The sequence below is a fragment of the Homo sapiens genome, chromosome X (genome assembly GCF_000001405.40).
Source record: "Homo sapiens chromosome X, GRCh38.p14 Primary Assembly".
NCBI lineage: Eukaryota > Metazoa > Chordata > Mammalia > Primates > Hominidae > Homo > Homo sapiens.
Window position 1 is genome coordinate 18,877,178 of NC_000023.11, and position 11,273 is coordinate 18,888,450.

The 11,273-nt window shown below is 51.1% G+C and overlaps 1 annotated feature.

The window, feature by feature from the left end:
- Window positions 9,519-9,728: an enhancer, noted in NCBI's record as "active region_29460". NCBI's record gives its function as "activates an Ori minimal core promoter by ATAC-STARR-seq in GM12878 lymphoblastoid cells {active_cell/tissue: GM12878}" and the evidence as "EXISTENCE:reporter gene assay evidence [ECO:0000049][PMID:35858748]".

The following is an 11,273-nucleotide window of genomic DNA, read 5'->3' on the forward strand; positions in this document are numbered from 1 at the left end:
ACTAGGAGGGATGGGAGGTCCCTGAGGAGGGAGAACAGGCAGGGTCCCACTTGGAAGTACCGCAATGGCTGTGTCTTCCTTGGTCCTTCCAGGGCGTTGCTGCTTGTGATTCTTTGCTTTCCCAGGGTCCATGTGGGAGGAAACAGCTCACAGGTCATCAATGAGACATCGGAGAGAGCCGCTAGGTGTTGTGGCAGATGAGGCAGTGCCTCCACGTGTGCTCATGGGCACTCCCGGTCATGAAGAGTGACCCACCTTGGCAAGGCTCTGGAGCTTGGTGGCCTTTGACATCCCGACCCAGAGCCTATTCAGGATCCCAGTGTCTCCTTGGATTTGGAGACACTCATTCATTCCCAGCAATGAACACCAAGCTTTTCTCATTCCTTTGGCTTGTACAGTACAGACCCCTCAGCAACTGCGCTCCATGCACGCAGCACTGTGTGGACTTGTTCCCCTGGTAACCACCTTCTATTCCCTATTACTGTGAGCTGGACTTTAGATTCCACATAGAAGAAGGATCACGTGATATTTGTCTGTGTCTGGCTTATTTCACTTAGCATAATGCCCTCCAGGTGCATTCGTGTGGAGGCAGGACTTCCTCCTCCATTTTTTTTTTTTTTTTTAAGGCAGAGTCTCGCTCGGTCACCTAGGCTGGAGTGCAGTGGTGCAATTTTGGCTCACTACAACCTCCATCTCCGGGGTTCAAGGGCTTTTCCTGCCTCAGCTTCCCGAGTGGCTGGGATTACAGGCGTGCGCCACCACACCCAGCTAATTTTTTGTATTTTTAGTAGAGACAGGGTTTCGCCATGTTGGCCAGGCTGGTCTTGAACTCCTGACCTCAGGTGATCCGCCTGCCTCGGCCTCCCAAAGTGCTGGGATTACAGGCATGAGCCACTTTTTTAAAGAGACAGGACATCCAAGTCCGAGGAGACACTTGGATCCTGGGGAGGCTCTGGGTCAGGAAGCCAAAGGTCACCAAGGTCCAGGGCCCTGACAGGGTGGGGCACTCTTTGAGACCAGGAGTGCCCATTAGTACTCATGGAGGCACTGTCCCATCTGTCGCCCAGGCTGGAGTGCAGTGGCTTCATCCCAGCTCACTGCAGCCTCCACCTCCTGGGCTCAAGTGATCCTCCCTCCTCAGCCTCTTGAGTAGTTGGGACCACAGGCGTGTGCCACCACATCTGGGCCCACTCTGCCTCTGCTATGAGTGCTCTCCCCCAATGGCCATGCAGCCCTTTCTCTCAGCCCTTTCCAGTCTTTGCTCAGATCTTTTCTTCTTGACAAGCCTATTTAATACTGCTGCCTGACTCCCTCACTCCAATCTTTCTTTGAGGCCTGAGCCGGCCTCACTGTGGAATTGGCTGCATAACATCCCGATTTGTTAAGGTCGTTGCTTATCGTCTGTCTCTGCCTGAACTTAGGCTCTGAGATGGGAGGAATCACTGTTTTGTTCATGGATTCTCCCACGTGTCTAAATCAGTGCCTGGCATGTAGTAGGTGCTCAGTAAATACGTGTTCAATGCACTGACTGAGGAAACTGGAGCCCAGAATGATTATGTGACCTGCCCAAGGCCACCCAGCACACTGGGGAAGGAGCAGGGATGGAAGCCTAGACTCTGGTACCAGGATCAGAGCTCTTAACCACCGAATACTACTGCTCACCCAGTGACACCTGTGGCCTTTGGGTGACCTCCACCCCTCTTGTCTAGGTCTCATTAGGTTGGGCTGGCACCCTGTGTGCCCTTCAGTTTCCACCCAGGCTGGTGTCTGGGCTCTTTTGGGGGTTCCTGCTCCCACCTCTATATCCCTCCCAGGAAGTGGACTAGACTGTGTGGTCCCCACCAACTGTCCCCTCACTGCCTGTTACCCCCTCACTCTCTACCCTGTCAGAGGAGCAAGACGCAGCCAACTCCTTGTGACCTCAGCCTGGCCTAGGGGGTGGCTGGCAGCTATTAGAGTGGGCCTTGACTTTGAGAGACCCCTGAATGACATTTCACCAGCTCTCTGTGGCTGTGCCCCCAGTCCTTTGGCCTTCAGGCGAATCCTGCCACCTGTGAATTCCTCTTCTGTCAGTTTTGTCTCGGGGAGGGTCGAGGCATAATCCCAAGGTGCTGCGGGGTCCCCGTGAGAATGAAATGCTGGCCCTGGCAGCCTCTAAGCCTCATGCCCACAGCAGCAGCAGCATCCCCTCCATGTGTCTTCCCCACGCAGGAGAGGCACCAACCGCGGGGATGCCCTTGGGGGAAGCCAAGGAACAGACCTGCAGAAATAGTTCAGCAGAGGCCCCAGGACAAAGGTGTCCGCTCTGTAGTTCTTCTGGATTTGGGGGGGGAAAGTGATAATGATCACTGCAAACTCCATGCCTGTTTTTTCTTCCGGTCAACCTCTTATTTATTTATTTACTTATTTTTGAGTCAGTGCCTCACTCTGTCACCCAAGCTGGAATGCAGTGGCGCAAATCACGGCTCATTGCGGCCTCAACCTCCCAGGCTCAAGCTATCCTCCCACCTCAGAGTCTCAAGTAGCTGGCACTACAGGTGTGTACCACCACACCTGGCTAATTTTTATTTGTTAACTTTTTTGTAGAGATGGGGTCTCATTATGTTGCCCAGGCTGGTCTCAAACTCCTGAGCTCAGGCGATCCACCTGCCTCAGCCTCCCAAAGTGCTGGGATTACAGGTGTGAGCCACCTCGCCCAGCCCTGCATCTTTCTTTAAGGCTTAGTAAATAATTGAAATTTTAATACTCCAAGTGTGCGTGAAGAATCCCAATATGTATTCGCAAATTGTTGAGCAGACCTGTCCTCATGTCTGTCAGCTCAAGGTTGTTAACTGTGTCACTGAGATCTTCTATGTCCTTGATGATATTTTGGTCAGCTTGACCTACCAGTAGTAAAAAAAGATGTCTCGGAGCCTCCCACCAAGATGATGAAGTCATCTTGTCCTTGTACTTTTGTTAATGTTTCCTGCATTTATTTTGAAGTTGTTTATTGGATAAAGAAATGTTTAAAATGGAAATGTCTTCTTGGCAAATTTCATCTTTTATCATCATGTTATCCCGTTTCTCGTCCTTAATACCACTTTTGGTCCTGAAGTCTATTTTACCCAACAGTGACACAGGGGGACCAGCCCTCTTTCTGATAGCATTTGCCTGGCATGTCTTTTTTTGTCCTTTTCTTTGCAACCTTCTGTATCCATATGCCTACAAAGAGCATATATCTTTCTACATGAACCATGTAAACCCAATCTGTCAACATTTGTCATTTAACAGGGGTCTGGTCTCTTGACATTATTGTCACCATCGATCTAGGTAGCTGGTTTTGAACATGTTCATGTGTATGGTGGCTTCTCCTACCTGGTCCTTCCTGTTGCAGAGCATACGATATACACTGCTTTGCATTACAGACTTATTTTAGTTTGTCACGTTTTGTCTGGGTGACAAACAGATACACAGGCACTCCGTCCTGGCTTCAGGATGGAAATTCTGTGTTTCTATGTTTCTTGTCTTTTTTTGAGACAGAGTCTTGTTCTGTCACTCAGGTTGGAGTACAGTGGCGCAATCTCGGCTCACTGCAACCTCCTCCTCTCAGGTTCGAGTGATTCTCTTGCCTCAGCCTCCCCAGTAGCTGGGATTACAGGCGCCCTCCACTACACCCGGCTAATTTTTGTACTTTTAGTAGAGACGGGGTTTCACCATGTTAGCCAGGCTGGTCTCAAACTCCTGACCTCAGGTGATCCATCCGCCTCGGCCTCCCAAAGTGCTGGGATTACAGGCGTGAGACACCACGCCCAGCCTCTCATCTTGTTTTTGAATTGATCTCTTTCTCACCCCTTATATTCGAAAAGAACATTTGCATATTTCACATCCCAGAGTGTCTACTCCCTCACCTCAAATTCTATCATGCTGATTTTATCTAGACTTTTCATTCTGGGTAATTATTAATATATTTGCAGCCGGGGGTGGTGGCTCACGCCTGTAATTCCCAGCACTTTGGGAGGCCAAGGTGAGCGGATCAAGAGGTCAGGAGTTTGAGACAAGCCTGGCCAACATGGCGAAACCCCGTCTCTACTAAAAATACAAAAATTAGCTGGTCATGGTGGCGGGCACTTGTAATCCCAGCTACTCGGGAGGCTGAGTCAGGAGAATCGCTGGAACCCAGGAGGTGGAGGTGGCAGTGAGCCGAGATTGCGCCACTGCACTCCAGCCTGGGCGACAGAGTGAGACTCTGTCTGGAAGAAAAAAAATATATATATATATATATGATCTACAGATCATATATATATATGATCTACAGATCATATATTTGTATGATCTACAGATCATATATTTGTATGATCTATAGATCATATAGATCATATATTTGTATGATCTATAGATCATATAGATCATATATATGATATAGATCATATAGATCATATATATGATATAGATCATATAGATCATATATATGATATAGATCATATAGATCATATATATGATATAGATCATATAGATCATATATATGATATAGATCATATAGATCATATATATGATATAGATCATATAGATCATATATATGATATAGATCATATAGATGATATAGATCATATAGATCATATATATGATATATGATATATATGATATGTATATCATATAGATGATATACATGATATATGATATGATATCATATATCATATATCATATCATATATGATATATATAATAAATATTATATATAAATATGTATATTTGCTCTTTTGCTTTGGTTTTGATTACTCTTTGAAGACAATCAAAAATCTTACCAAGGGCTGGACTCAGTGGCTTAAGCCTATAATTGTAGCACTTTGGGAGGCCGAGGTGGGAGGATTGCGTGAGCCCCATCCCTCAGAGTGCAACCTCCGGCTTCTTTGTGGGGATATTTTTGTTGGACCTTAGACCTGCCCGTGCTGCCAGGTCCCCTAGCCTGCCTTCTCCCAGCCCAGGACTGATGCAAGGGGCCCTGGACAAGGCATAAGAAACTTCAGGAAGCATAGAAAGAGGCCATGACCATGACCCAGGAGGCTAAGTGCTCCTGGCAGACTCAAGGTTGCCCAGCAGCCATCTCCCTTCTTCCCCACTAACAGGACCCCGAGTTTGTTGCAGATATTTGACAAGTGAGGTCTCCAAAGGTGCCCCACCAACCTTGCAAGGCCCACGATGGTTCCAGACTTAGAAATCCATCCTGTTAATCCTTATTGCGCTTGCCAGTGATTAGTGTTAAACAGGCATATGACTCAGTCCTGGGCATTTCGAATTAAGGAAAAGTCTGCCAGAGGGCTTCTAGGAGAGACTTCCCTACCTGGAATGGGTTGATAGGGGGAGAGAGGGGTGGAGAGGGAGCGAGGGAGTGAGAAAAAGACTGGAGCAAGAGAGAGAGAAGCCAAAAGCTAAAGAAGAAAGCCCTGACTCTCCCTCCTTGGTTGGGATGTTGTCCTTTAAGGATGTGATGCTTGGAGCTGTGGCAGCCATCTTGTAACCATGAGAAAAGAAAGCGCCACTCTGAAGTTGATGGAGAAGAAAGACAGGAAGAGCATGGGTCCTTCGTGGCATTGTTGAGCCACTGAACCAACTCTGCAACCTCCCAGCTGCAGTCGTTGTCTTACATAGGGTGAGAAATGTCTTTATTGTTTGAGCCACTGACAGGCTGGGTAGCTGTGATGGACAGCTGAAAGTATCCTGAGAGATTACTGAGGAATTTGTCCTCTTGTGTGATCCTGCCTGCTATTTTAATTTAATTTTTTTGAGATGGAGTCTCGCTCTGTCGCCCAGGCTGGAGTGCAGTAGCATGATCATGGCTCACTGCAGCCTCTGCCTCTGGGCTCAAGTGATCCTCCCAGCTCAGCCTCCTGAGTAACTGGGATTGCAGGTGTCTGCCATCATGCCCAGGTGGGGTTTTTTTTTTTTTTTTTTTCATTTTTTGTAGAGATAGGGTCTCCTTATGTTGCCAAGGCTAGTCTGGAACTCCGGGGCTTAAGCGATCCTCCCACCTCATCTTGGCCTCCCAAAGTGCTGGGATTACAGTCACGAGCCACTGCACCCAGCCATTCCTGCCTTTTAGAGTCCTGGGAGGAGACAGGTTATCAGAACGCAGATCCCAGGCAGTGCGGCCTGCACATAGGCAGAGAAGATGACAGTTGGGAGTTAAGGACCCTTTCCCCATCACACTGGCCAGCTCAGGGGCTGAGAATTCCACAAGTCAGAGCTTTCACCGAAACTTGCATGTGACTTGTGAAATGCAAACATTCCAGGGAGAACTGGGAGTGACCCGCACCCTGTGGCTTCTTTCCTGGAACACTTCAGCACCTGAGTGTCTCCCAGGTAGCGGGAGGCTGGCTGTCGAGAGGACAGCATGGGAGAAAAGGGATTCGGAGGCTTTCTCAGAGGAATTCATTGAATATTTGCTCTGTTCCAGCAGCTTTATCCCCACTATCTTTTTTTTATTACACAAACATTTATTTAGCACTTACTATGTGCCAAGTAGTATCCAAGCACTTTAAAAATATGTCACACTCAATCTTGTGACAGCCATGCGAGGTACAAGTGCTCTCACTAAGCCCAAGTACAGAGGTGGTGGCCCTGGATGTGGCCCAGACAGACCAGTGCCAGCCCCAGTGCCACGCTCTGAACCACCCAGCGTGCCAGGCAGCTCTTGCAGTCTCAGGCTGCTGTGTAGCAGTGACACCTCCAGCGAAGTGGCACCACTTATTGCCAGCTCCCTGGACCCAAGCCCTCCCTGGTTGCCTGCCCTGGTGGGTCCCGAGTGGGTCAGACAAAAGGCAAGCCCTGCTCCTCAGCCTCCCCTAGGGGCATCCCCCATCCCCGGCTCTCTCCCTTCTTCTAAGGGCAGACAGGCTTCTCCCAAGTGAGGGCAGGAGGCTCCGCACCCCTTTGCAACCCCAGGCCCTTGGGCGGCAAGTGTCAAGAGGAAGAAGGAATCCAGAGATAGGTGAAGGATGAAGACAGGGCCTTTATGCTCTTCGCTTCTCTCCTCAAAGTGCCACCTCCTGCCTCTGTCTGCTCTGCTCTGTCCTTGGTCCGTATAGCAGAGCCCTGCTCGGGGCGGCGCTGATTTCAACACCCTTGACGTTGAACTGGGCTCCTCCCAGGTGTGCCAGGCTGGAGTCCTCACAGAACTCTCTCTTGCTCTGTTTAAAATGGATGTATCCCCCTAGCTTATTCTTAACAGTCCTCCAGAATCTTCCACCATGAGCATCGTCATCCCCATTTGACCAATGAGGAAATGAGGCTCAGAGAGTGACTTGCTATCCATGGCCACGCAGCTCAAATGTCACCTGTCTGATCCAATGCTTACCTTCAGACACACCCTGGGCCCTCCGGGATGATCTGGAGCCTGCAGACCTAGGCCAGCGCCACCGTGGGGTGGGGGAGTGGCAGCAGCCTCTGTCTGCTGAGACTGTGCCAGTGCCAGGGGTGTACAAACGTGATCATGACCTCATTACATACACGGTATTGTTACTGTTATGTCCATTAGCTTGTTAATCTCTAGAACCACCACATGAAGATGGTTTATATAATCACCATCCCATTTCACAGAGGAAGAAACTGAGGTACCAAGAGATTGTGTCTAATCAAAGGGTGTCCAGCTCTAAGCAGCAGCATGGGGGTCAAAATTCTGGCCCATCTGACCCCTGAGCTCCTGGTGGTGACAGGGGCCCGGGAGGTAGCCAAAGCAAGGTGTTGAGACCTTAAACCCAATGCTGCCTGTGTCACAATTTTGCCAAAGGCTACCATCTGGGAACAGTCCCTAGGGTGGCTGTGCCCACATCACAGCAGAGGCTACTTAAGGGCTTTGTGGGCTCCAAAGCATGAGCCACATTTCTCCTGACCTTGAAATGGACTCTTTGAGAGAGGCAGGGGGGGGACCTGGTGTCCTTGCTTCCTAGCTGGGACAGCCAGCGGACTCGGAGGAGCTAAGAGACTTGCCACTGTCCACGGTGCTGCATCCCCAGCCTTGCTGCACCACCCAGTTGCAAGCGTGACTTCTATCACCCTGGGCTGAATTTAGCTTCCTAACCCCTGTATGCTAAGCTGAGAATTCCCTTCCCCTTCAATATTTCTCTTCATATCTACTATCCAAACCTTGAATAAACTGAACAAATGAGTCTCTCTTCTGAGGTAAATTTGTTAGAGACTAAAGCAAGGTTCTTTGCCTAGATCTAGGTAAACATGGAGGCCGGAAATGGGCTTCTTTCTGATCTGCCACTGACATGTGTGAATTTCTGAAATTCACAAGCCCTCTTGAGTCTCAGTTTCCTCATCTGTAAAATCCAGGTGCTAACAGCAGCCCTAACTAAGCAGGCATAGATGATGATCACGTGCTCTTCAGCACCTGTGGAATGTGTCCCTCAGCTGGAGCCACAGCTCAAGTCTTTACTCTCCTCTAGTTTCCAAGACGCCTGAGGTTTACAGGTAGAAGACCCCCAGAGGACAAAGTAGCTGATTCCAGGGATTCCTTGGAGCCAATCCTCTTGGCCTCAACTATCCCCTCCTATATTCCCTCTCCCCACCGGCTGGGGTACGTACTCCCTGGCCAGCCTCCTGGAATGTTCCACTGGTCCCCACCTCCCAGCACAGTACCCCTCCCTCCCGCTAGTGGATGACTCACTACATTTCTTTCTTGCTTTTTTTCCGATTGTGCTTTTTTTAAGTTTAAAAAAGAAATGTGTCAAAGTCAGCATAGCACATCTATTTAAAGTGCAGAGGAAGCAGCCTCTGAACAACTTGCGGTGTGGAGCCTTTAGAACCTTTCCAGGCCTCAGCCCCAAAGTCTGTCACTGTTGCTTTCTAAAGCCCCAATATGAAGGGCAGTGGACGCTTAGGGACGTCAGGGGAGAGGTAAGGTGAGAGCAGGAGAAGGCAGGGCGGAGGAGGGTGCCCTGGGGATAGAGTCCCGGCCACTGTTTCCTTTGCCCACCCCATCCCCCGAGGAAGGTGGCGCCAGCAGATGCAGGTATATGGCTTTGTACGTGCATGTCGGCTTGAACGTGGTGTAGGGACCACGTAGGGTTTCAGGCCTGAGACAGCGGAGGGAGCTGAGGAAGGGAACAGGCATCGCTTCTCTCTCCCTCTTCTGTCATTTCATCACCCCCATTTTCCAGTTACTAGATTATCTCCCCTAAATAGCAGCAAAGCAGGGGCTGCTCCCGAAGGCTGTCAGCTCCTCAAAATAGGTGGAAGGAAGTCACATGGCCTCGGCACTGGCTCCCTTCCTGGCTCCGCCTCTCACACATGTCCCTCCAGACCTGCGGTGAAATGAACTGCTTCTCCCCTCTGCCTCTGCCATGGCTCCACTGCCCCCTAACCTTTAAAGCAGATCTCTCTGGGCAGGGTTGGCAATACTTGTCATTCTTCCCAGTGACTTGGGACAAAAGCCAAAGTCTGGACTCCTTGGTGGCTCCACTCCCGCCCCCTGCAGACGTGTTGGGTGCAGTACTGCCTCCCACGTTCGCACTGGCGGTTCCTTGCTGCCCGGCACCGTCTCCTCCAGCTAAAGTGAGGCTCAGGCCCTCACTTCCTTCAGGTCGCTGATCACATCTTGCCCACTGAGATCTTCTCCAGTCATCCCAGAGGACAGGCCCTCTGTGCTCCCAGGCCTCCCCACCCGTTCCTCTGCTTCGTTCTGCCCCCGATATGCTGCGAAAATCATCACTCCTTGTTCATTTTCCGGGGCGGGGAGGAGGAGGGGTCAGTCTCACTTCCTCCCTCGGCTGAGCTGCAGGAGACTCAGAGATGGCCTTGGCCTCACCCAGCTGTGCTGTCCCCACCCAGCCGGCTGCTTTGACATTTAAAGGACTAGTCCGATCCTGCTGGGTCGCATTCTTGAGCAACTCCGGCGCTGTGGCCCTGCACTTTCTGGAGGACTGAGTGTTTTACTCAGCCTTCACCTATGAGGAGCCCGTGAGACCCAGGCGAGGGTTGGGAGGGTCAAATCCCCACCTCCTGCCCCAACCCATCTTGAGCCTCTACCCTCTTCCCCCAGCATAGCTGAGCAAGTGGGACTGGGGCTGGTGGAGGGGTAGTGCCTGCCATTCAGGGGCCGAAGACAGTGGCTTTGCTAAGGCCCCTCCACCCCCAGCCAAGCCCAGGAAGCCCCCTGCATCCCCTCCACCGAGTGCCGGCAGTTCCCAGGCTGCCTGGCCTGTGCCCACCTGTCCCCGCGTTTTCTGCCGCTCCACACCCCCTAGTCCCGGCTCTGGTCACTCTGCGGAGCCTCTGCTAACCCTGTGCTGACAGTGAGCTCCCCGACCCGGGCTCCATCTTGACCCCTCTTGCACCGCAGACTTATTTTTGACTCTTTGCCCTACTAGGCATGGAGCCCTTTGTGCCTCAGCCAGCCAAGCCCAGATCCAGCCACGTGGACGTGTGCTGACAGCACCGTCGATGCACAGTCTCCACCAAGCTGGGACAAAGGTACACATCCTGCGGGGGCAGGGCGGGGCGGCAGTCACCACCCTAGCACTAGGGAGCTCTCTGCTTTAGGCGATGGAAAGCCCAGAATCCTTTCTGGTGAGATTCAGGCGGCAGTGCAAGGAGCCACTAAGAACGGCTGCTTCATCTTCTGGCGTGAAGAGCTGCGTCAGCCGCGGTGGGTGCAATGCCCTCTCAAAACCTTCTCCCAGCCTGCTGGGCCACTTTCGCTCCAGATCTCTTGTGGCTAATGAGGGAAAGGGGAGCAGGGAGCTGTTGCCTGCACTTCCAGAAGGAGGGGAGGTTGGGGAGAGGCAGAGAGGGCCGCCTGGCCTAGATGGCTGTGCCTCTCTTGAGCCCAGGAGAGACTCCAGTACTTACAGGAACTCAAACGATCCCTGGTGACAGCTGGAGGAAATTATTCACACTGTCAAGAGAGAGGCTTATACCACGAACGGTTCCAATTCATTATTTTTAAATCCCCCAGCTGGCTAAAGAGTTAGAAGAAAAGATGTGACAATCATTTGAGTCTTGTCCCAGATGGGCTGTCACTCAAGGGCTATGAAAATCGAATGGGACTGGGCTGGTGGTCACAAAAACTGCAGGGCGCACTGGCAATTCTGCAGGGCTTTGCAGGATGGTGGAAGGTGGTCTGGTGGGCCATACTGGGCAGCAGTGGTGATCCAGCCCCTATGGCTCAGTAGCATTTCTACCCAAAGACAGAACATGTAATTAATTGTCCTACCTCCATCCCAGAGGTGGGTACCAGGATGGCTTCCATGCACCTGGGGTGAGGAGGGGTTGCCTGCACGCCCCTCTTCACTCCTG